The 27,249-nt window shown below is 39.5% G+C and overlaps 1 long non-coding RNA gene across 1 annotated transcript, besides 1 other annotated feature; it reads left to right on the top strand.

Annotated features, from left to right (window-relative positions):
• Positions 1 to 8,098: 8,098 nt before the first annotated feature.
• On the top strand, positions 8,099 to 10,571 carry LOC105378468 (uncharacterized). Its single transcript, XR_946292.3, has 2 exons — positions 8,099 to 8,250; positions 10,133 to 10,571. It is a non-coding gene; the product is annotated as an uncharacterized LOC105378468 (long non-coding RNA).
• Positions 19,277 to 19,787: an enhancer, noted in NCBI's record as "NANOG hESC enhancer chr10:107782439-107782949 (GRCh37/hg19 assembly coordinates)". NCBI's record gives its function as "activates a minimal SCP1, AML or CMV promoter by ChIP-STARR-seq in naive H9 embryonic stem cells {active_cell/tissue: H9 hESC(naive)}" and the evidence as "EXISTENCE:reporter gene assay evidence [ECO:0000049][PMID:30033119]".

The following is a 27,249-nucleotide window of genomic DNA, read 5'->3' on the forward strand; positions in this document are numbered from 1 at the left end:
CATTTAGTAGTGAATAAAAGGTTATTGGTTACCCTGGTGCTCTAACATCATGGTCCTGGTAGCCATGTGCAGGTAAGATGAAAGGTAGGATGTTATGGGTGAGTAGATTAGCAAGAAAAAATGCAGTCCGTATACATGTGAGGTGATAATCTGGTCTTGAAATAATGGTTATACGAGCTAGCAAATAAAACAGGGAACTGAATCTAGAAGTATCGAAAGGTAAAAGAAAAAGTCTATTAATAAAGAACTTGAAAAATAGTTATTATTTGTCACTCATCTGCACCAGCCAGAGAAAAATAGTCATTATATTAATAGAGAAGTAGTTACTATCATAGGAAGGAACACTAGTCAGCTATTTAAAAAAGCAAGAAAATTCCATCTTTATTTACTGACATGTAAAGAAATTCATCATTTACTATTGAGAGAAGAAAAGCAAGATGCAAAATAATATGTATCATATGATATCATTAATATAAAAACAATTATATAAACACTTTAATAAAGATTGCTTGTATGAATAGAGAGTGCTATTTTTAATTTCACAATGTACTACTTGAATTTTTTATGACAAACATTTTAAACATAACATTTAAATGTAAAATAATAATGAGGTTTATAAATTAAACTATCAATAAGATCATAAATATCCAACTCCCCTAGAAAGGTAAGTAATTTACACATAGCAAGATCTCAAAAATTACTGTTTAAAGGAACGAGTAACTTAAAATAGGAGACAAAATACCCATATAATCCTTTTTTTTTTTTTTTTTGAGATGGAGTTTTGCTCTTGTTGCCCAGGCTGGAGTGCAAAGGCACGATCTCAGCTCACTGCAACCTCTGCCTCCTGGGTTCAAGCAATTCTCCTGCCTCGGCCTCCTGAGTGGCTGGAATTACAGGTGCCCACCACCATGCACAGCTCATTTTTTGTATTTTTAGTGGAGATAGAGTTTCACCATGTTGGCCAGGCTAGTCTCAAACTCCTGACCTCAGGTGATCTGCGCCTCGGCGTCCCAAAGTGCTGGGATTACAGGCCTGAGCCACCAGTTCCAGCCCATAATTCTTAAATAATGAAGAACAATTATAAATTATGCTGGATCACATGAACTGAGAATTGATCTTCTAACTATAATTTCTTGTAAATTATCAAAACAGATTTTAGCTGTTTACAGTGTTTACACCTGTAAAATAAGAATTGCTGTTTCACTCTATTTTGAAGAGAAATATGCTAGGAAAATATGTTATTTCTCCAAAGATTACATGGTATATAGGGTTTATCTACCCTAAAGTTGCCATCTATCAATGTTTACAGTATAACATTTGAGACCTGGTGTTATATTATTCAGTGTTATATATCATGATGTGATTTAAGTCATAGAAAACAGGAGTTACTCTAAAGTACTTCTTTGAATCACAGTAGTCAGGCATGCTCTGCTTCAGTCAACCAAGTCCCTCATGGGTACTAATGCAGAAATTCCGCAACCCAGGTGATTTTTGTTTTTCACACATCCACATTATAACATCAGTAGCTCTAGAGTTATAATTCTTCCAGTAGATTTTACTTTATTGAATACCAATCTCTCTGGAGTTACAACTATAATAATAAATTACACAATAATTATAGATGCAATTCTTATGGTTTCTATTTTCTTACAGATCTGTGAGTATGAGAACATATATGTCCTACCCCCACATAAATTAAGTTCTACAAATATACTCCTGGCATCAAGGCCGTAGTAACATACATCATGCATGTTGCCAAGAGCACCTCAAATCTATTCTTTAAAATTAATCTTCTGACCACTGTTTATCACATTTACTAAATATCAGTCAGCTTTTGCCAAGATGCAGAATGTTAGCTGTTACTAAACCTTATCAGTCAACCTCCTTAAAATATCTGGAGGGCAATTCTACTGTACTGAAAAGCAAATTTAAAAGTCTTACAGAGAACACCAGACAATCCATCAAAAAAAGGTAAAAAACAAAAACAAAAAAACATTTTTCCCCTCAAGAAAGAAAGAAAAAAAAAATCTATGAAAAGAAACCAGAAGCAGCCAGCTAAATTGAATGCAGTGTTTTCCCCATCTGTCCCCTACAGGAAAAAGTGAAATGGCCTCTTGCAGAAAACCTCTTTTTTTTTTTTCAAATTCCACCTACTGTAATATACACATAAGCAATTGGGAGTTACTGCAGTCCATTCGTTTGCCAATAAGCACAGAATAAGTCAGAAGAAAGAACCCTGTATTCATGATGTTTACAGTTAAGTAGGACAAGAAAGCCATATACACACATAATTAAAACACAGAGCTATCTCTGAGAGCTTCCTTAAAAATTCCAAGGAAAAAATAACCACTTTCTTCTGCAGCGACCTGGAAAGAAAAGTCTCTTCATTCTCATCATCATCATAATCATTGTCATCAGTTCTGCCATGAAATCTGTGACTCAAGGAAAATGTCCTTTCTTGAAGTTTTAAGTTAACTACCTATACGTGATGGATATGAGACAATTGGACCAGAATGATAATTTAAAATTTATTTTCAGAGTTAGGATTCTGTATACAACCAAATGTGATTAAGATTTTACATGTTAAAAGTAAATTTCCTTCACAGGTGAATCAATTTTTTAAAGAAACATTTGAACTCTGCACCCTTCCATCCCCACCAGTAAGTTTAGCAGCACTAAAGTGGAAAGATGTCACCCATAGTATCATCTCCCCAAAATAATAATGGCTAAGATTCTAGAAAACCTCTTTCCAGCTTTTTTTCCTCTCTGTATCAATTTTTAGATAGTAATAAATATGTTATAGATATAATTTAGTTACCTTATTTCCCTTGATGTCATAGTGTAAATAATTAGTGTGTTTTCACAATCCCTATAGCAACAGAAGTTACTGTCAGCATATTAATAATTACATGTAAATTGAGGTATTATTTTTATATAAATGATCTCTACCTACAGTTATTTAGGTCATTTCCAATTAATCATTGAAATGCTTCAATGACCATGTTAATACATAGGTGCTGCTGGATATATATCACACCCAAAAGTAATGAAAATATTTTAAGAATTCCCAAAGCACATTTGCATGTTATTTCATTGAATATTTTAAGTAACTCTGAGTGGTCAGGAAGACATCTATTTATGAAAAATACGAAATCAAGGTCACAGAGATAGTCAATGGCAGAGCCTGGCACTCAAACCTGGGCTTTCTGATTCAAGTCACACTAACGATGTTGCCTTTCTGTTCTCCATGAAGAGCTTCATTTCCTTTGCTGGACTCTCATAAACCAGTGACACTAAAATCTGTAACTTCAGTTCTTTCCAGAGCTCCATATCCAAATTCTAACAGTCCAGATTATATTTTCCTATAGATATTCCTATATAATTTCAAATGTAATATTTCTGGAACTGGACTATCTTAATCTATTTCTCCTTAGGTTTCCTCTGGGTTATAATTCCTCTTTGTTATAATTCCTAGGCCCAAACAGATTTTCTTTTTACCTTTCTTGTAATAAATCAGAATGTAAGCCCAGCAGATTACTTCCCTGAATATTTTCTTAGAAATCTTCTCTATTCTCATTGCCAAGTGTTCAGGGCATCACTATCTTCTCCAGCTTGATTGAAACAACCTCCAACTCCAACTTATTACCCTGGCTTTTTTCTTCTTCTTCTATAATCCACTCTTCATGCTATATCCAACATTATACTTTTAAAAGCATTTTAACATCCTTATTTGGAGACTAAGGCTATTCAATAACTTGCTATCACACTCCTAATCATAACATGTATGTACAGCTCCTCCCAAACTACCCCCAATCTAATATCCTAACTTTATCTTGTTTTTTTCCCTTTCTGGCTTCATCATTCACATTAAATTACCCACTGAGACCCCCAAACATTATGAATGTTCAAGCCTTAAGGTTTTTCTGTCCACAGACTTTTTACTAACTTTGTCTTTTTTTCCCAATGCCCTACTCTTCTTTCAATATCAGCTATTACTTCCTCATAAAATTTTGATTTTTCTCATGCAGAATTATTATGTTTCCTTTATGTGTTACACAGTTTATACATTTGTATATTAAACAACAAATTAGGATATTTTAAAACCATTTGTTTACTACTATTTTGTATTCTTTTTTCCTCAATAACAGGGCATATGTATGACCATAGCAGGTGGAATGTTGTGCGGCACATGGAATTTAATTACTTTATCTAGTGCTCTTTCTATCACACCACATTGTCTGTAATACAAAGTTTACTTCAACCATCCAGAAAACAATCCGTCATAAAGTGAATCCCCTGGCTATGGCAGAAATTTTGATACCTACAGTGATACATTATGCAAACACATCATTAGAGAGAGCTAAGCACGGCTCAGAATTCAAAGAGTTATAGGTGAAATCGTGTCAATAAGTGACCCAAATCTTATTCTTAACCCTCTTCGTTTTTGAAGGATAGAAGCCCAAAGTCAGCCTTGATAATTAAAGTATTTCCAATATGAGCAAAAGACATAATTTGGGTGATAAGAAAAATGATGACAGACTCCCATGCCTGTTAAATCATCAACTCAGCAGCTTTATGTATGTTTTTATAATTTTTATTTAATCATCTCTCTCTAAAGACAGTGTCAAACCTAATGTGTGATGTTGTTCCTTTTATATGAAGTTTGTTTTATACTCTTTAATACATATAAGTAAATTTCTATAAGCAGCATCTAATTTAAAATAAAAAGATTTAAAGGGATTTGTAAATCATTTAATTCTTTAAAAAAATCTATTTGATCTCTAATTTCCAGATTTCGATATCTCTATTTACAGACGAAAGAAGAAAATGAGGAAGTGTGGATTAATTTTACATTGACATAGAGTTTCTTAATTGAATTCAAGATAAAATCCTGCATACAGCTTACTTACTAAATTCATCTATAGCAGTAGTGATGGGGGCCCAGGAGAGCAAAACTATTTGGGATAGTTTTTTGGTTTTTTTATCCATCCAAAGAGTAAGAGAATTTTGGAAGTTACTTATTCAGTATTCTCTTGAGGAAACAATTGATATATCAATGAGGATCATACATTCTTACATATTTGTACTTGAAGACCATGATTTTTTTAAACTATATAAAAAAATTGCTGAATGTTCAACTGCAATCTTTGCCTTAAGAGCTAGTCAAGCATAAACAAATCATAAAAATATATGCAAATCAAAGTTCATTCAAGAAAATTTTCATTTTCTGAAGTTAAAATGTGAATAAAAATGCAACCTAGTTTCTGGTAAATTAGCAAGAGTCATTAAAATTTCTGTTGACCACTTAAATCTGAACTAACAAAATTAACAACTAGGTAGAAATATGGTTAATAAATTATCAGATTTGGTTCCATACATTGACCCAATGTTTTCCCTCCCATGAAAATAATTTAACAGAAACAAACGTATATATTAACTATAGTGTTTATTGTGATGGAACATACAAAAGAAATACTTTAGAATTAGCTTAAATTTCAGTATATTGAGGTTCGTCAACATTAAAATTGTTATATGGAAGATTCTTTTGCCATAACATGAGGACATGCTATGGCATTGCTACAATGAAAATACATTTACACACAAGAATGAAAGTAAAATGCTGTTTTAAAATGATTGTTTTAAGGGTTATTTAAAACTTTCTAAATTTTGTTATATATTTACTTTAGTATATTTTCAAGAAACAAGATGACTTATTTGCTTGTTTGATGCAAATATATGATATATCTGCAGAAACTTCCTTGTTAATGTCCAAACACCTTTCTTAGTAAAGCTCACAATTATCTGAAAATCCATGTAAAAATTTCAGTGTCATAAGGTATCAGAGCTGAGAGGAGTCTTAAAAAAATACAAGTGTCACCACTTTTTAAAATACGTAAATACATTTTTTCTTTTCAAATAATATATAGAAAAGTATCAAAGATAGTACACAGTTTCTAAAAATGTTGTACCCACTCTCCTCTATTAATGTCTTTCATTACTACAATACATTTGTCCCAAATAATAAGCCAATATCGATCCATTGTTATTAACTCAAACTATTTGTTTTTTATTAGTTTTCCCCTAATACCTTTTTGTGTTGTAAGGTCTCATCTGGGATACATTTAATTGTCTCCATAGGGTCCTCTGGGCTGTGACAGTTTCTCTGTGTTATCTCGAATTTCTTTGAGTTTCCTCAAAATAACTAAAGAATTTTGAATTCTTTATCTGAAATGTCAGATATCTCTGTTTCTCCAATATTGAGCCCTAGTTCCTTGAGTGAGATCCAGTGCTGTGGTGGCTTCATGTCTGACCCAGTGCATTTTTTGAGGTCATGCATTCCTGGAGAGTTTTGATGCTTAAGGATGTTCATCTGTATCTTGGCATTGAATAATTAGGTTTTATTGTAGTGTTCACCATGTAGGCTTGTTTGTACTCATCCTTCTTGAAAAGGCTTTTCAGGTAATTGAAAGGACTCGGGTATTGTAATCTAAGCCTGCATTAGGGGAGCTTCTGCAAGCCTAGTAAAGCTGTGGTTCTTACAGACTCCCTAGAGGTATCGCCTTGATGGTCTTGGGTAAGATCTCAAAACTTATCTGGATTACCAGGCAGAAACTCTGTTCTCTTCCCTTATTTTCTCCCAAACAAATGAAATCTCTCTCTCTCTGTTCTGAGCCGCCTTGAGCTGGGGGTGGGGTGACATAAGCACCCCTGTGACCACCACCATTGGGATTGCACTGGGTCAGACCTGAAGCCAGCACAACACTGGGTCTCACCCAAGGCCTGATGTGACAACCACCTGGTTGCTGCCTATGTCCCCTCAAGGCCCTGGTGCTCTACAATCAGCAGGTGGCCAAGCCAGCCAGGCTTGTGTCCTTTCCTTCAGGGTAGTGAGTTCCCCCAGGTCTCAGGCAGGTTCAGAGGTGCTGTCCAGGAACAAGGAACTAAAGTAAAAAACCTTAGACATTTACCTGGTGTTCTATTGTACTGCAGCTGAGCTGGTACTCAAACCACAAGATACAGTTCTTCCCACTCTTTTCTCCCCTTTCCATAAGCAGAGGAGCCTTACCCTATGGTCACCACCATCACAGACTCACAGGAAGTACTGCCAGGCTATTGTCGATTTTCCCTTAAGATCCAAAGGCTCTTTCATCAAGTTGTCATGAAGACTGTCTGGGCTGAAACTCACTTTTCATGGCAGTGGGCACCCCTCTGGCCCAGGGATGGGCCATCCAAGAGGCAAGCCTAGAATTGGAGACCTCAAGAGGCTGCTTGGTGTTCTATCCCTGGTGGCCCAGTTGGTATCTAAAGTACAAGACAAAGTCCCCTTTAGTTTCCTTCTGCTTTTCTCTAGAAAATGGAGTTTATCCCCATAGCCATTACAGCTAGGAATATGATGAGTCTCACCTGAAGCCACCTAGTCTCAGAGTCTCACCAAGGCCCACAGTACACAACCTGGTTATCACTGCTTTTTATTTAGGCCACAAGGGATCTTTAGTCAGCATGTGATAGATCCTTCCTGGACTGTGTCCTTCCCTTCAAGGTAGTGGGTTTCCTTTTGGCCCAGGGTTTGTCTAAAAATATATTAGAGCTAGTGCCTGAAATAGTGCCTCAAGAGTCTTACTGGTGCCCTATTGTACTGTGGCTGAGCTGGTATCCAAGATGCAAGACAAAATTTTATTTACTCTTCCCTCTCCTCTTCTCAAGTAGAAAGATGAGGTCTTCTCTAGAGCCATAAGCTGTGCAGTCTGGGGTTGGGGGAGGGTGGTGCAAGCACCCCCTTAGCTGTCCCGGCTGGTGTCTCAGTAGATCGTGTGACCCTGCAGTCCACTGACTCTGAGCCCAGTTCAGCACTAGGAATCACCTAGGAGTTGCAGTCCTTTTGGCCTAGACTGCCTTTCAAGTTTATTTAGGGACCCACAGTGCTTTAGCCCACAGTGGAAAGGCTTATCAGAACTCAAGTTCTGACTGCTGAGTTGGGCAATTCCCTTCTGGCTAGGCCTGCAATAAATACTCCCTCCATGGGTGGATATCAGCTGAGTTCAGACCAGTTTTGCTTTCTGCTGTGACAGAGCAACACTGAATTCAATGCAATGTCTCACAATTGCTGCACTCTCCCTCTTCCAAGCAAATAGATTCTCTCTCTGCACTACGCAGCAGCTGCCTGAGGATGGGGAGGAGTGGCATTAGCAATTCGAGACTGTCTTTTTTACCTCTTCAATGCCTCTTGCAGCGATATGAAATTAAAACCAGGTACTGTGAGTGCTCACTTAATTTTTGTTTCTTAAAAAGGTTTTTTTGTATGCAGATTGTTGTTAAATTGGTGTCCTTATGATGGGGATGATTGGTGGAGGCTTCTATTCAGCTATCTTGCTCTGCCCTTCTGGTCAGACCTGATTTTTAAAATTTAATAAAACTTTTTTGTGCCCTAATATATGGCCTATTGTGGAGAACGTTCTATGTGTTGATGATAAGAGTTTGTATTCTGAAGCCATTGGATGAAATATGACATCAATGTCTGTTAGGTTACTTCAGTCTAAAATGCAGTTTAAATTCTGTTTCTTTGTTGATTGCATTGTCTAGATGATCTGTCCAATCCTGAAAGTGGGATGTTAAAGTCCCCAACTATTATTGTATTATAGTCTATCTCTCCCTTTACCTCCAATAGTATTTTCTGTATGTTTTCAATTTTTCAAGAATTGGATGTATATATATTTAGAACTAAAACTTGCTGAATTTATCCCTTTATTGTTGTATAATGACCTTCTTTGTCCCTTTTTATATTTTCTTGACTTAAAGTCTATTTTATGTGACATAATAATAATAATAATTATAATTATAGCTATTCCTGCTTATTTTTTGTTTCTGTGTACATGGTATATCTTTTCATTCCTTCACTTTCAGTTTTTATCTTTCTTTACAGATGAGTGTGTTTTCTGTGGGTCTTATTTTTCCTCCCTTTCAGCAAGTCCATGTCTTCCAATTTAGGAATTTAAATTACTTAAATTCAAGATTGTTATTTTTATGTGTGAACTGACTTCTGTCATTTTAAAAATTGTTTTCTATTTGCTCTGCCTATTATTTGTTTCTTCCCCTCATATTGTTTATCTTGCAGTTTGCTGGTTTTCTGTAGTGATAAAGTTTGATTCCTTTCTATTTTTCATTTGTGTAACTACTCTACCAGTAATTTTTATTCTTTTGTCAATTTTCATGATAGTTTTTTTTTTTTTTTTTCCTTTTCCAGATGTAGATCTTCCTTAAGTATTTATTCTAAGGCCAGTCTAGTGGTAATAAATTCTCTCAGGTTGTACTTATCTGGGAAAGACTTAATTTTTTCTTCATTTCTGAAGGAGATAGCTGTGCTGGGTGTAGTAGTTTGTTGTTGTTGTTGTTGTTGTTGTTTTGTTTCTTTATTTTTGAGACAGAGTCACACTCTATCACCCAGCGTAGAATGCAGTGGCATAATCAGTAACCTCTACCTCCCTGGTTCAAGCAATTCTCCTGCCTCAGCCTCCTGAGTAGCTAAGATTACAGGCATACACCACCATACCCTGATAATTTTGGTACTTTTAATAGAGATGGGGTTTCGCCATGTTGGCCAGGCTGGTCTTGAATTCCTGGCCTCAAGTAATCCACCTGCCTTGCCCTCCCAAAGTGTGGGGATTACAGGCATGAGCCACTGTGCCCGGCCAGTACAGTAGTCTTGAATGGCAGATTTTTTTTCTCTCAGACCTTTAAATATATTATCCTATTGTTTTCTTGCCTGTAAGGTTTCTACTGAGAAGTCCACTATTAGCCTAATGAGGATTCCTTAACATATGACTTGATATTTTTTTCTTGATGTTTTTAGAATTATCATGGTCTTTGAATTTTGACAGTTTTAACTATCATGTGGCTTGGAGAGTACCTTGTTAGGTTGAATATATTTGGGACTATTGAAACTTTTTGGATCTGGATACTCACATATGTCCTCAGACATGGGAAGCTTTCCCTTATTATTTAATTAAATAGGTTTTCTATGCCTTTCCCTGCCTCTTTTATATTTATGTAATTTTCATGATGTGAAAATTTATTTGATTTATGGTGTACCATAAGTCTTGTAGGCTTTCTTTATTTTTCTCTATTTTTTATTTAGCTTTTGTCACCATCACAAACTTCTGCAGCCTTGGCCACTGAGGCAATCACAGGCATCACTGATGAGGATGATAGCTGAAGAAACTGCAACTGCATAAAGATCACATCACTGAATCTACCCAGAACTACAGCCAATGCATGATACCCACTTGACAACCTAGGACCTCTCTACAAGAAAAAGTCTTTCTCTATGAAAGATAATTCATAAAATTTTAAAAAGTAACTCTTCTACTAGATGCACAGATATTAATGTAGGAACCCAAAAACCATAAAAAGCAAGGAAATATGACACCTTCAGAGGATTATGTCTCTAATCAAAGACCCTGAAGTGAAAGATATTTATAAAATGCCTGAAAAGAAATTCAAAATAATGCTCTTAAGGAAACTCAGTGAAATACAAGATAATACAGGTAGACAATTCAATAAAATATGGAAGACAATTCTTGATCTGATTGTGAAATTCAATAAAGAGAAAGATACCATAAAACAGGACTAAACAGAAATCTTGGAAATAAATAATTCAATGAACGAAATAAAAAATACAGTCAACAAATTTGATAATAAGGTAGATCAGGCAGAAGAATTTCTAAACTTTAGTGGAAGTCTTTTGGCACAATCTGCAGATGCCCAGGGGTGATGTGTATGGCCAGCTGTTTGGTGCCTTCCCTATTGTACAGATTCACCTGTTTCTTGAGTGGATGGTTTGCTGTGTGAGTTCAGATACTAGGTTCTCAGTCATCCCATCTGCCTAGGCTCTGGCAGCCGGGGTTAGGGTACTGCAGGTACCAGTATGAATGTAGTGGAATGATAGTGGGGCCTCAAGGACAAGCACTGTCAGCCACTAGTGTCCCCTAGGGCAAGATGCACTCCAGTGGTGGGTTCATTGTCAAGATACCACCAAACCCTCAAGATACCACCAAGACTCGCAGTTATGTATTGCTGGGGAGGCCTCAGAAAACTTAAAATCATGGTGGAAAAGGAAGCAAACATTCTTCACATGGCAACAGGAGAGAGAAGTGCAGAGTGAAGGGGAAACAGCGCCTTATAAAACCATCAGATCTCATGAGAATTCACTCACTATCATGAGAACAGCATGAGGGGAAACCGTCCCCATTATTCAATTACCTCCCACCAGGTCCCTCTCATGACACATGGGGATTATGAGAACTACAATTCAAGATGAGATTTAAGTGGGGACACAGCCAAACCGTATCATCCCACCTCTGACCCCTCCCAAATCTTATGTTCTCACATTTCAAAACACAATCATGCCTTTCCAACAGTCCCCCAAATCCTTAATTCATTCTAGCACTAACCCAAAAGTTCAAATCTAAAATTTCATCTGAGATAAGGCAAGTCCCTTCCACTGATGAGCCTGTAAAATCAAAAGTAAGTTAATTGCTCCTAGATAAAATGGAGGTACAGGCATTGGGTAAATACACCCATTCTAAATGGGAGAAACTGGCTAAAACAAAGGGGCTACAGGCCCCATGCAAGTCCATAATCCAATAGGGCAGTCATTAAATCTTAAAGTTCCAAAATGATCTCCTTGACTCCATAAATCACATCCAGGTCATGCCGATACAAGAGGTGGGCTCCCATGGGCTTAGGTAACTCAGACCCTGTGGCTTTGCAGGGTATAGCCCTACTCCTGGATGCTTTCATAGGCTGGCATTGAGTGTCTGTGGCTTTTCCAGGGACATAGTTCAAGCTGTCATGGATCTACCATTCTGGGGTCTGGAGGATGGTCACCCTCTTCTCATAGCTCCACTAGGCAGTGCCAAGGGGGTACTCTGTGTGGGTGCTCCAACCCCCATTTCCCTTCCTCACTGCCCTAGCAGAGGTTATTCATAAGGTCTCTGCTCCTGCAGCAAATTTCTGCCTGGACATCCAGGCATTTCCATATGGCCTCAAATCTAGGTGAAGGTTCCCAAACCTCAATTCTTGACTTCTGTGTACCCACAGCCAACACCACGTGTAAGCTACAAAGGCTTGAGGCCTTGCACCCTCTGAAGCAATGGCTTGAGCTGTACCTTGACCTCTTTTAGCCACAGCTGGGATTCAGGGAACCAAATCCCAAGGCTGTACAGAGCAGCAGGGGGGAGCATGCCCCAAGCCATGGAACTATTTTTCCCTCCTAGACTTCCAGGCTGTGATGGGAGGGGCTTCTGTGAAGGTGTCCGACATGCCCTGGAGACATTTTCCCCATTGTCTTGGTGATTAGCATTCAACTCTTCATTACTTATGCAAGTTTCTACAGCTGGCTTGAATTTCTCCCCAGGAAATGTTTTTTTTTCATCATCAGGCTGCAAATTTTCCAAACTTTTATGCTTTGCTTCCTCTTGAATCCTTTAATGCTTAGAAATTTCTTCTGCCAGATACCCTAAATCATCTCTCAAGTTCAAAGTTCTACAGATCCCTAGGGCAGGGGCAAAATGCCACCGGTCTCTTTGCATAGCAAGAGTGACCTTTACTCCATTTCCCAGTGAGTTCCCCATCTCCACTGAGACGACCTCAGCCTGGACTTCATTGTCCACATCACTATCAGCATTTTGGTCAAAGACATTCAACAAATCTCTAGGAAGTTCCAAACTTTCCCATATTTTCCTGTCTTCTTCTGAGCCCTCCAAACTGTTCCAGCTTCTGCCTATTACCCAGTTCCAAAGTTGCTTCCACATTTTCAGGTATCTTTATAGCAGCGCCCCACTACCCTAGTAATAATTTGCTGTATTAGTCCATTTTCACGTTGCTATAAAGAACTGCCTGAGACTGGTCAATTTATAAAGGAAAGATGTTTAATTGACTCACAGTTGTACATTGATGGAGAGGCCTCAGGAAACTTACAATCATGGCAGAAGGGGAAGCAAACATGTCCTTCTTCACAGGAGAAAGAAGTGCAGAGCAGTGGGGGGGATGTTGGGGGGTGGAAATCCCTTTTAAAACCATCAGATCTCAAGAGAACTTATTCACTTTCATGAGAACAACATGGAGGGAAACCACCCCCATGATTCAATTACTTCCCACCCGGTCTTGCCCATAAACATAGGGGTTATGGGAACTACAGTTGAAGATGAGAAATGGGTGGGGACACAGCCAAAGGATATCAAGTACTCAATGTGTGGTCTTACTCTGAGACAATGTGGCTGTGCAAATGCCTGCCTACTTTCTAAACTGGACTTGGGGCCTGTGTAAACTGGGGGATTTTCACTCACATCCATGTGAAGAGACCACCAAACAGGATTTGTGTGAGCAATAAAGCTTTTTAATCACCTGGGTGCAGGCGGGCTGAGTCCGAAAAGAGAGTCAGTGAAGGGAGATAAGGGTAGGGCTGTTTTATAAGATTTGGGTAGGTAAAGCAAAATTACAGTCAAAGGGGGGTTGTTCTCTGGTGGGCAGGAGTGGGGTCACAAGGTGCTCAGTAGGGGAGCTTTTGAGCCAGGATGAGCCAGGAGAAGGAATTTCACAAGATAATGTCATCACTTAAGGCAAGGACCGGCCATTTTTACTTCTTTTGTGGTGGAATGTCATCAGTTAAGGCAAGGAACAGGCCATTTTCACTTCTTTTGTGATTCTTCAGTTACTTCAGGCCATCTGGGCATATATATGCAGGTCACAGGGGATGCGATGGCTTAGCTTGGGCTCAGAGGCCTGACATTCCTGCCTTCTTATATTAATAAGAAAAACAACATAAAATAGTATTGAAGTGTTGGGGTAGCGAAAAAAAATTTTTTTTTTGGGGGGGGGTGGCATGGAAAGATAATGGCCGATGTTTCTCAGGGCCGCTTCGAGCGGGATTAGGGGCGGTGTGGGAACCTAGAGTGGGAGAGATTAAGTTGAAGGAAGATTTTGTGGTAAGGGTTGATGTTGTGGGGTTGTTAGAAGAAACATTTCTCGTATAGAATGATTGATAATGGCCGGGGTACGGTTTTGGATGAATTGAGAAACTAAACGCAAGATACAAGGTCCAAATAAAAGAAGGAGAAAAATAGGTATTAAAGGACTAAGAATTGGGAGGACCCAGGACATCCAATTAGAGAGTGCCCAAGCGGGTTCAATGTAATTACTTGCTTGGTTGGCAAGTTTTTGGGCTCTATCCTTGAGTTTTTTTATGTTGTTATACACCAGGCCAGATTGATTTAGGTAAAAACAACACTCTTCATTTAAGAATACACAGAGTCCTCCTTTTTCAGCAGTGAGTAAGTCAGGGCCTCAGCGGTTTTGGGGGACAACTGCAGCTAAAGAGTCAACTTGGGCCTGGAGGACTGATAAAGTTTGTCATATGTCTGTGATGCTAGCAGAGAAGTCATTAGAGAGGCTATGGAAGGTCATAACAGGTTGAAATGCCTGCTATTCCAGTACTGAGAACAATAGTAGAGGCAGAAAGTCCTAAACTGACAAGCAAGGGAATTAGTGGAAAAACTCTTCTTTGTCGTGTCGGTGTCATGAGGAGAACAGGGAGCTCTTTAGTCCCATTTGCAAATTGAATTTTGGGAGTAAGGAAAACTAGTGTGCATGTGCCTGTCCAATTAACAGGTAGACACATGTAGGTAGAGGATCCACAGAGGAAGAAGAGGCCTTGTGCGAGGCAAAACTGGAGATGCAAAGTAAAAAGATGAGAGGGAGTGCTGAAAGGGGTGTCTTTTACCCAGACTTCTAGGGATCCAGTTAGGGCGGCAGCCATCAGAGGTTGTAATGGGGACAGATGGGGTAACTGCGTAGAGGAGGAGGTTCGATTTTCATGGTGTATGAGAAAACGTTGAGTATCTATGAGCAACCTTTCACTGTTATTTTCGGGGCTGGGTATAAGTAAACAAGAAGAGGGTCTGGGAGGAGAGTCTGATGAGCAAGGGGAAGGTAGCCAAGGATGGAGTGAAATACAGGGTAAGTGTCTTCTTAAGCAATAATTACTGCTAATGTTTTTAAGTTTGCCAGTATTGATAGACGGCTTGTCTGTAATATGGAGCTGGAAGGCTCCAATTGTTTCAGTGATGTGTGTAGTTGGGCTTTGGAGATGAAGAGTAAAGGAACATCGAGAAGGTGAAAGGTTACCTAGGGGAATTCCAGTGGGTCTTTGCCGAGAGATACATACAGGAGCAGCCATAGGAATAGTAGTTTGTGTTGTGAGAGGTCCAAATATGAGGAGAGTAGGGTTGATATAAGGAGAAAGGCTTTTTAAGTAAGTGCGGAGGAGGGCGGCAGCTTGCTGATGTGAAATGTCTGGAGAGGTCTTGCTGGACCTGTCTAGAAAGTAAATGAGTTCTTCAGGAGGGTAAAATGAGGGCTGTTAAAGGAAGTTTGGAGATGTAGGGAGACAGGAGATGTTGCCTAGTCTGCATGTAAGGTGGGGACAGCTGTGTAGGCACTGGAAGAAAGGGAAATGCAAAGCCAGCAGTTTGCTAAGAAGGGATTAGAAACGGCTAGGAGAGATTGAGTAAAGTTGACAGTGTGGTGGAGATAGCTGGGGAGAGGTAGAGGGTGGCATAAGAATGGGAATGAGAATAACAGTGAGTATAAAAGTAAACAAAAGAACTTCATCAGGGTGAAAGTATTGGAGGGTCCCCTGCCAGCAAAGATCATCTATCCACTCTAAGAGGGAGTTAAGAGTTGCCAGTCCTGGGCGAGGGCAAATCCTCCAGCTTGATGTGTAGGGAAGGGAGGGGGCCTGAATAATCCCTGAGGAGTGGTAGAATAGCAGATGGAACACTGAGAAGCTATTTCCTTGAGGATAGATTTCCATGATGGAAAGGAAATGAGAGGTTCTAAGAGGCGGGCTGGTGGCTTGTACTATAGCATAGCCTGCCTTTGCTGGTGTGTGGCAATTAGGCCTGGTGGAACTAGTATCAATAAACCAAGTGTGCTCAGGGTGAGGAACAGGAAAGAAGGAAATATGGGGAAATGGGGTGAATGTCAGGTGGATCAGAGAGATACAGTCATGGGGGTCAGGTGTGGTATCCAGAATACTGTGGGAGGCCCGATTGAAGTCTGGGCCAGAAACAATGATAATTGTGGGAGACTCAACAAAGAGTGAGTACAGCTGAAGGAGCTGGGGAGCAGAAAGTATATGTGTCAGGTGTGAGGAAGAAAATAGATTTTGGAAGTTATGAGAACTGTAGAGAGTGAGTTGAGCAGTTTGTGATTTTTAGGGCCTTTAAAAGTATTAAGGCAGCGGCAGCTGCTGCAGGCAGACATGAGGGCTAGGCTAAAAGAGTAAGGTCCAGTAGTTTGGACAGAAAGGCTACAGGATGCAGTCCCGGCTCTTGTGTAAGAATTCTGACCGCACTAACCATGCCTAGGAAGGAAAGGAGTTGTTGTTTTGTAGGAGGGATTGGGGTTTGGGAGATTAGCCAGACACGATCAGCAGGGAGAGCACGTGTGTTTTTATGAGAATTATGCCGAGATAGGTAACAGATGAAGAAATTTGGGCTTGACTGAAGTAATGGGGGCTGTCTCTGAAGCCTTGCCTAGGTAATTTGCTGAACCTGGTGGGTGTCAGGGTCAGTCCAGGTGAAAGTGAACAGAGGCTGGGATGAAGGGTGCAAAGGAATAGTAAAGAAAGCATGTTTGAGATCTAGAGCAGAATAATGGTGTGCAGAGGGAGGTATTGAGGATAGGAGAGTATATGAGTTTGGCACCACAGGGTAGATAGGCAAAACAATTTGGTTCATAAGGTGCAGATCCTGAACTAATCTGTAAGCCTTGTCTGGTTTTAGGACAGGTAAAATGGGGGAATTGTAAGGGGAGTTTATAGCCTTTAAAGACCATGCTGTAGCAGGCAAGTGATAACAGACTTTAATCCCTTTAAGGCAACCTGTGGGATGGGATATTGGCATTGAGCAGGGTAAGAGTGATTAGGTTTTAATGGGATGGTAAGGGGTGCATGATCAGTCACTAAGGAGGGAGTAGAGGTGTCTTATACTTGTGGGTTAAGGTGGGGAGATACAAGGGGAGGATGTGAAGGAGGCTTTGAACTGGAGGAAAAGGCGGCAATGAGGAGTGGCTGTAGCCCAGGAATAGTCAGGGAAGCAGATAATTTAGTTAAAGCGTCTCGGCCTAATAAGGGCCTAATAAAGGCAGGTGGGGATAACTAAAAAGGAGTGCTTAAAAGACTATTGTCTAAGTTGGCACCAGAGTTGGGGAGTTTTAAGAGGTTTAGAAGCCTGGCCGTCAATACCCACAACAATTATGGAGGCAAGGGGGAAACAGGCCCTTGAAAAGAAGGTAATGTGGAGTGGGTAGCCTCCGTATTGATTAAGAAGGGGACAGACTTACATTCCACTGTGAGAGTTACCAGAAGCTCGGCGTCTGTGATGGTTTAGGGAGCTTCCGAGGCGATCTTGCAGTGTCAGCCTTCAGCCGCTAAGCCGAGAAGATCTGGGAAGGAGTCAGAGAGCCTTGGGCCAGAGTTCCAGGGGCTCTGGGAGTGGCTGCCAGGTGAGTTGAACAGTCCAATTTTCAGTGGGGGTCCTTCACAGATGGGACGCGGCTTAGGAGGAATCCCAGGCTGCGGACATTCCTTGGCCTGGTGGCCAGATTTCTGGCGCTTGTAGCAAGCTCCTGGGGGAGGAGGTTCTGGAGGAATGCCTGGCAGCTGCGGTTCAGGCGTTTGGAAGTTCTTGTGTGCTGGAGATGTGGCTGGAGTTTGTCTCACACTGGAGGTAAGGAATTGCAACTTTTTTCTATTATTGTACACCTTGAAGGCAATGTTAATTAAGTCTTGCTGTGGGGTTTGAGGGCTGGAATTTATATTTTGGAGCTTTATTTAAAGTCGGGAGCGGATTGGGTAATAAAATGTATATTGAGAATAAGACGGCCTTTTGACCTTTTAGGGTCTAGGGCTGTAAAGCGTCTCAGGGTTGCTGCCAAATGAGCCATGAACTGGGCTGGGTTTTTCATATTTGATGAAAAAGAGCCTAAACACTAACTGATTTGAAAGAGTTCTGATAGAGAAAAAGGTACATGTACCCTGACTTTGCCTTCAGCTCCAGCCACTTCTCTAAGAGGAAATTGTTGCGCAGGTGGGGAAGAGCTAGTTGTGGAACTAAACTGTAAGCCGGACCCGGTGTGAGGAGGGGAGGTGATAGAAGGATTATAGGGTGGAGGAACGGAGGCTGAGGAAGAATTGGGACTTAGCTCGGCCTGGCGACCAGCAGCCTGGGGAGGAGGGGAGAAGTCAGATGGGTCTGTAGAAAAGGAAAACTGGAAAGACTCAGTGACACTTGGGGTTGGGACTGGGGACAGGCAGGAGGGAAAGAAGGTGGATTTGGAAGGAATCGCGTTGGGAACAGGGACTAGGGAGAGAACGAAGTGTGAAAAATGCCTGGATGTAAGGCACCTCAGACCATTTGCCCATTTTTCAACAAAAATTATTTAGGTCTTGTAGGATGGAGAAATTGGAAGTGCCATTTTCTGGCCATTTAGAGCCATTGTCAAGTTTGTATTGGGGCCAAGCGGTGTTGCAGAAGAAAATAAGGTGTTTAGGTCAGGTATGAGTTGAAGAGGTTTTAAGTTCTTGAGAACACAGGCTAAGGGAGAAGAGGGAGGAATGGAGGCTGGAAGGTTGCCCATAGTGAAGGAGGTAAGCCCAGAAAAAAGAGAGAGTAGAGACATAGAGAAAAGGGGTGGGGGTGGGGGGTTCTTATCCCCCAGAAAAGCGGTACTTGCCGCTAAGGGTGAAGGACCAAGGCAGGCATCCCCACGTGGTCAGACACCTCTGAAACGTGGGTGAGTAATCAGGCAGGCGCCCCACGTGATTAAACACTAAGGGAAGACTGTCTTCCTGAGTCTGTGACCAGCGCTGGAGTTTTGGGTCCACGCATAAAACACGTCTCCTTCATCTCTACCAGAAAAGGAAAGGAACTGAAATTAAGAGAAGGGAGAAATTGAAGTGTGGCACCAAGATTGAAAGGAGAAAGTGGTTGAAGGATAGTGAGAAAGGTTGGAGAAGAGAGTAAAAAGAGGCCGCTTACTGGATTTAAAATTGGTGAGATGTTCCTTGGGCTGGTTGGTCTGAGGACCTGAGGTCGTAGGTGGATCTTTCTCACGGAGCAAAGAGCGGGAGGACGGGATTGATCTCCCAAGGGAGGTCCCCCGATCCAAGTCACGACACCATATTTCACTCGTGTCCCTGTGAAGAGACCACCAAACAGGCTTTGTGTGAGCAATAAAGCTTTTTAATCATCTGGGTGCAGGCGGGCTGAGTCCGAAAAGAGAGTCAGCGAAGGGAGATAAAGGTAGGGCCGTTTTATAAGATTTGGGTAGGTAAAGCAAAATTACAGTCAAAGGGGGGTTGTTCTCTGGTGGGCAGGTGTGGGGGTCACAAGGTGCTCAGTAGGGGAGCTTTTGAGCCAGGATGAGCCAGGAGAAGGAATTTCACAAGATAATGTCATCACTTAAGGCAAGGACTGGCCATTTTCACTTCTTTTGTGGTGGAATGTCATCAGTTAAGGCAAGGAACAGGCCATTTTCACTTCTTTTGTGATTCTTCAGTTACTTCAGGCCATCTGGGCATATATGTGCAGGTCACAGGGGATGCGATGGCTTAGCTTGGGCTCAGAGGCCCGACAGGGATCCTCTTGCAGCCACAATTGCTGGTGTTTGTGGTGGAAGTGGAAACCACTTGGAATATCCAGATTACCTTTGCCTTGTATAAAGAAGTCCCCCCCGAATCCAAGTCAGTCCCTACCAACAAGACTGTATAGCAGAGACAGAACAACACCTAGATACCCGAACTATGGTGCTATCCTGAACTGCCACAACTCACATGAATTTTGCTGCTTCCATGGTGTTCTTCAGTGTACTTCTGCAGTCACTCTACTCAAAATATAATTATTTTTTGTTTCTGTCCGCTTTTGTGAGGATAGGGCAAGCACTAGGTAACTAGATCCAGCCATCTTGCTGATTCTATGAAGGATTAGGTGTAACCACATTTTAAATGTATTATTTTCGCAAGGGCTCAAGGGCTCACACTCAGTGAATGACAGGATAAGGCTCATAACTTAGGTTCCCCAAACTTCTGCTTTCTATTCAAACATTGTGTCAATATAGCTACTTTCTGTTCATAAATGTGGTCAGAGAAATTGGTCTATAGGATAACCTCTGGAGAACTTTCACATCAATCTACTCTGCAACTTAAAATTGTGCCTTTAAATCATATGCCTTTATGCTTTAAAATCATTTTAAAACGATTTTTGGTCAATACACATGTCTGCCTCAGCTCTGTAGTTGCACAAGTATCTTATAACTAGCTCTTAAAGAGCAAATGCTCCTTTCTCTTTTTAATTTCCTTGGCCATCAAATTTCAATGTTCTTTCTTGTGCATGAATAATCCATGAATGAACTTCACATGAGGCCTGACTCCTGACCCCATAGTGCTCCATGTTCATTCTGGAAGAAATGCTTGGTGAACGTTCTCCACCATTAATTTTGTGGCCTTACCTTTTTGCTTGGAAAATATTATGTCCAACTCTTAACATTTCAAGTAAAAGAAGCAGCTCTGATTTTATCCTTGGTTAAAGTCTGGGGAGAGTGATTCGATAATACACATGTTAAAAATCTTAGCTTTATTTTTCTTTACTCAGATAGAAACTATTTCTGTTTGGTTTAAGAGAAGGTTGAACCTTGCCCTCCAAAGGAAAAATAAACATATTATTTTGTTCTCCATTTTAATTGATTTTCAAAACCTAGGCTAAATAAAATCACAGAGAAAATGAGATAAAGTGTTCTCAGCAGCTGTATTGCAATACTGAAGTGTCTCTAATAGTTGCTGTTCTCAGAGCAGCTCATCACTTTCTATCAAAGGTTAAGAAATAATTGTTTGGGAACTGAATAAATGGATAAGAAACACAAGTAAAGGAGAACGAAACAAGATTGAAATGTCTAAATCCTATGTTGTTTCTAAAGGTTAGGAAAGAATGCATATTTTCTTTCTAAATGTCAATCTGAATGGCAGTGAACCTCGAATAACATTTGAATTTAATGTAGAACTTTTGAAAATGAAGCAATTGCCTAGCTAACTGCCTGTTTGCTTTGGGGTAAACTTCACGTTTGGCTAGCTGAAATATCATTTCCATTTGGAAGTATAAACATAATAGTTAGCTGTTATCAGAAAGGAAGAGAGGATCTTTATTTGTTAGATACCAATCAATCTGGGATTGCTGAGGCTCAGCAGGCAGGATAATGAATGGAGCTACGCAGTTCATCTGACTGTTGCCTATTTAGGATTAGAATGGACCAGGCGTTGAACATTATTCTGGACATTCAGCATTTCCAAATCCCAACTCTGTTTTTTGCCTACAAAAAGAAATTCTTCTTTCAAGGTAAGTTTCAGAGAGAAGCTAAGTACAACTGACCCTTGAAAAACATGGGTTTGAATTGCAAAGGTCTACTTACACTCAGATTTTCTTCCACCTCTGCCAGCCCTGAGATAGCAAGACTAACCCCTCCATTTCCTCCTCCTCCTCAGTCTACTCAACATGGAGACCACAGGTGAAGTCCTTTACGATGATCCATTTCCACTTAATAAATAGTAAATACATTTTCTCTTCCTTGTGACTTTCTTAACATTTTTTTCTCTAGCCTACTTTATTATAAAACTACTATATATAATATATATAACATGTACAATATGTGTTAACTGGCTGTTCATGTTATTGGTAAGGCTTCCAACCAACTCTAGGCTATTAGTACTTAAATTCCTGGGGAGTCAAAAGCTATATATGGATTAAAAAATACAGAGAAGTCAGTCCCTGCTAATTTCTGTGTTGTTTAAGGGACAACTGTATATTACATAATTCTTCACAGGCCATGCATAAGTGTGAAGAGTTTGATTAGCCTAGGAAGAGGACAATTGACTGTAGGACAGTAACTGCCTGTTAATCCTAGGAATTAGTTAAATATTAACAGGGTTGTTTTTTTTTTTTTTTTTTCAAATTTTTTTTTTTTTTTTTACCTTGACCAAACTATCAACTGAAGGGATCTGGGCTTAGGATTATACAAATTGGGTCTGGAAAGTCAGTCATTAGGAACACTGGAGATCAGAGAGAGAAGTTTGAGGTCATAGCTGAAAGAACATGAAGGCAAACAGGCAGTATCCCAGTAGACAGAGGGAGGCAGAATATGGCAATTCCTTGTTCATTCTGACTGACCAATTATTATTTCTGTGTACCATCTGTCTGAGTCATCACTAACCTCTCCATAAGGCCTGTCCAATTTTTTTTGTATTCTAGTGGAATTTACTGGTTTCTATTCTTTCCTATTAGTCTTTCTGAAAATTGTAGGCACTATCAGTAATGAAATTTCTGCTGGAACAACATTTCAAAGCTCATAGGCATATGGACATTGTTTTGACTCTTAATTGTTAAACAAGTTTGGAGGAGCATCCTTCCTTCTCCTTATCAGAAAATGATGGAACAGAACTGAATTCCCAAGGTCCTTTAGGGTTCTAACTTTCTGGAAATAGAATTGTTTAATATCTTAGAAAATCCAGGACATAAAAAACATTGATTTCAAAAGTCTATACACTTCTAGATAAGCAGCCTTTCTAATTAAAATGTAGAGCCAAAATGTTTAGTGGAATTGACTTATTTTGACATGATATTAACAAGTCTTCCCTTTAATCAGTGACTTTTTTCTACCTTAAATAATACTTTTTACCAATAGTTTCCTCAATTCCCTTAGCTCTAAGAATTCCAAACAAGCTGTTCATAGTTTATGCATCTGGTATCAAATAAAAATTGGAAAGAGAGTTATAGGGAGTAAATGGCCTATAAAGTACATTGATATTAACGCTGTTCTCAAGAGCTAGTTATCTTTTAGTCTAATTGCCCTTTTAGCAAAAGAAGAGAAAGTATACAGCCAATTTCAGACCCTATAAAGAAAACTAAACCCCATAGTTAAGTGCAGAATCTTTGGCCATATCCATGTAAAGATGCTAGAAGAAATAGCCACTTCACACTCCTCTACCTACTATAGAGTAAAAGTCTCCAAATTGCCTTAGGTCAGATCTTTCTAACTACAAATCCAGAGAAAAATGGGAGTCACATAATGAGGCATTATGTTATTATGGTAAAACTTTGTAGTTAATTATCAAGACTACTTTATATATTCTTTATTAGATATGCATCAATGACGATGTATATTGCTGATAGACCTTCAAATGAATTCAGCACATTGTTCATCCTTATATCTTTTGATATTATCATTTCTCATCAATGCCCTATCTTTTCTATGTACTGATGCATTAATAACTTACCAAAGATGATTAAATTGTGTAATTTTCTTCTCTCCCTCTGAGTTCTCCTAATTCCATATCCCATTTTCTTCCCCAAGAGGAGAAAAATATTCTGGGGCTTAGTCTGATATGCTCTTTGAGACAGTTGGTTTTCCCAGTGTGCTTGTAAAAGGAAGGTGTCTGTGGATTCAGATTGGAATGGATAGCCTTGCAATTGATATTCTCCTCCTTGATATCAATTTTCTGTTGTCTAGTTTGTGCAACTCTGCTTGCCATGGTTACATTTTCAGCAAGTCTCTTGTCAAAAAGCTGTTGCTGGTCATCTCCCCATAGTGAAGAAATGGTGCAGAGTAAAGATTAGGATTAGATTGGTTCTCTAATCTCCTAATTCCCCTGTTCCCTGGTATTCAAATTGACTTAGTGATCAAGGGTTTCTTTTGAGCCAGTGCTGGCAGACAGTCATCTACTGTTGGTTCCTCTTTGATTCTTGTAAAAAGTAAAACATGCCTGGATTCTGCCTGCCCATGAATGACACTCCTAAAGTTGCTGATTAGCTATAATTCAACAAATTTTTTGGAAAGAATTTGAAAGAATTTCTAGCAGATTACCTAGCTCTTGCTTGTCCTAGAATACTACTTTATGTTTTGATTGCTTGCCCAGTTACCAAAGTTCTCATGGCCTTTATCACTTTCATGAGTGCATTAGTCCATTCTCACACTGCTGATAAAAACATACCCAAGACTGGGTAATTTATAAAGAAAAGGAGGTTTAATGGTCTTACAGTTCTACATGGCTGGGGAGGCCTCACAATCGTGCCTGAAGGCAAAAGGTACTTCTTATATGGTGGTGGCAAGAAAGAATGAGAACCAAGCAAAAAGGATTTTCCCTGATAAAACCATCAGATTTCATGAGACTTATTCACTACCATGTGAACAGTAAGGGGGAAACCACCCCAGTGGTTCTGTTATCTTTCCTGGGGTCCCTCCCACAACTGATGGGAATTATGGGAGCTACAATTCAAGATGAGATTTGGGTGAAGACACAGCCAACCATATCAATGAGCTGGGCTGTCACCACACTACTTCTTAAGCTCAGTCCCTGGTAAATGTGATCCTAATGACACAGGCATTTTACTTGGGGATATATCTCTGACTGAACAGACCCAGCAGACTGTTAAGATGAACAAGCCATTATAAAACCTTCAACTCTCAACTTGTAGTTGAGTTTTTTCCACATTTTGCTCAAATCTACCATCCAATAGTTGATACTGTTCAATCAGAAAACTAACGCAATGGGAAGAAAATTATTTCAATTAAAATACAAAACCTTATTCATCTAAAGGTTATAAAGCTGGATAGATAAATGCAGCAAGAAGACCCTACACTGACAATTTCAGGAGATCTGAGTCCTAGACCAGTACTGTCACCAATTAGGTTCACAAAAGTTCTTCAAAACAAAGAACTAAAGGCCCAAAGACTTAAGTTATTTGCCCCAAATCATATTGCAAGTGCTTTGACACTACATAAAACTAGCATGATGACCTGGAAAGAGCATACTTAAAGCTAATCAAAATCATAATCAGCCCATGTACTGTTCGGTCTACTTTCCCTAAGAGCAAAAGTAAATACTCCCCACACTTCACTTTTGACAACATGTCAAACAGCAGCTGCACCCATTTGGCTCCAGCTTCTGACAGTCAAGCTTTCTGCATTTTACAGCCTCCACTCAGTTACTTGAGTATGACACTGCCTCCTTCTTTCATCCCTCCAATCTAGGGTAGCTTCCTGATGCCCTGAATCTCTGGGCTGATTCATTGCCTTCTTTCTGTCTTTTTGCTACCTGTGTGATCCACTCCTTGTGTTGAGTAACCTGTTTTTGTTTTCCTAGTGGAACCATGCTTGATACACTAACTATGATTTTGAGAAAGTTACTCAAGATTATGGGTCAGTCTTTTTTTTCCCTCCTCACCTTACAAATGGAACTAAAATAGCTCCTGCAATGGACTGAATGTTTGTGTTCCTCCAAAATTCATTGTTGGAATCCTGATTCACAAGGTGATAGTATTAGGAGGTGGCACCTTTGAGGGATAATAAGGTCATGTGGGTGAAGTCTTCATGAATGACGTTAGGGCCCTTATAGAAAGGAACCCAGAGAGCTCTTTTGATTTATTTCTGCCATGTGAGAATGCAATGATAAGTCAGCAGTCTGAAATCTGGAAGAAGGTCCTCACCAGAACTGGACCAAGCTGGAACTTTGATCTCAGACTTCCAGCCTGCAGGACTATGAGAAATAAATATCTGTTGTTTATAAGTCACCCAGTTTATGGTATTTTTTTATAGCAGCCTGAACTAAGACAACTGCCTATGTGCCTGCTGTAAAGATGAAAGATAACTCTCTGATATATAAATGGAACTTAAAAACATATAACTGTTCTGTGGCTGGTAACTGTGTTGGTGTTAGTTTTGTTAGCTATATACACTCTTGTTAATGAGAATGAAAATTAAGACTCTTAACTCTCTAAGTAATGTGTTTTCCCCCTGCCACTCCACTGTTCAGTCCAAAGTAGCAAGACTTTTCTCTCAAACATTTTGTCATTTGAAAGCTCAGTGAAAAAATAATGCAGGAAAACAGGCTTGTTTATACTTTTCAACCAATGAAATCATCTATGGATCTTAAATATTTGAGAACATTTAGTTGTAAATAATTTGGTCTTGTAAGAAACATAACCTAATTCATGTATATGATGTTATGAAGAGGGAAAACCCCATAGATATCTGTCATGAGTGCGGAGGAATGTGGAATTCCATGGGAAGGACTAAAGAGTATCTTCTTTCTATTTCAATATTGGTTATATTTCTATATAACAGTATATTTACATATTGTATGGTGTTTTATAGATTTTTTTTTCCAGTCTGCTCTGTTTAATACTAACATGAAAAACTGTTGCTTTATTTCTCTGGAAGGATTTACTTTTTCCTGAAGGATTTTAAGTGCTTAAATGTCAGTATCTAAGGTGAGTAAAAAATCCAGGTCACATGGTGTCAAAATACCTATTGCTGAGCGTCCTAGGATAGCGTAACCCCTGCACATGACCAAGCTACTGGAAAACAACATCTTTCCAACTGTGGTCTAAAATCACCTCCATTTTCCTGGTTAATTTGAGTAGATAGGCAAACTTTTCAGCAGAATGATAATGTAAAAAGGTCAAAGAAGTTAAAGCCAAGAAAGTCTGGATTCTAAAAGCTGTTGTGCCACTTCCTGGCCATGTGACTTTGTGCAATTCGCCTAATCTCCCTGGGCATCACTTTCCTCATTTGTTAAAAGGAGCCAATAATAGCTGCTGTAAGACCCATGTAGTGGTGACAATGACATGTCCTAGGAATATAGAAAAAATAATAAACTTACCCTCTGAGAGTTAAGTAATGAGAACAACTAGTAATTACATAAATGTTAAGATCCCAGGTTCTGAAAACTGAGAGAGCCGGATTCTTATCCTGACTCCTCTATATACTTGATGTTCGTGTGGAGGTTATGCAAATTCTTCAAGACTTTGTTTCCTTTATGTAAAACAGGGATGAACAAAAAGTACCTATCTCAAGGGTTTTTGTGAAAATTAATTTTTAAACAAAAATATTTATGTTGGTACGAAAGTAATTGTGGTTTCTGCCATTACTTTTAAATGGCAAAAACCATAATTACTTTTGCACCAACCTAATATTTCATTCAAAATATTTTGTAACTATGATAAATGCCAAGTCATGTTGTAATTGTTTACAATAGAGATATTCAGGATTGACTGCCTTAAGGAGATTCCTGGCCAACAAAATGTGAGAATAAACTGAAGATAGTATCATAGCAGAAGAAGGACTGTATCAACCATAAGGCTAGTA

Source organism: Homo sapiens, chromosome 10 (genome assembly GCF_000001405.40).
Source record: "Homo sapiens chromosome 10, GRCh38.p14 Primary Assembly".
NCBI lineage: Eukaryota > Metazoa > Chordata > Mammalia > Primates > Hominidae > Homo > Homo sapiens.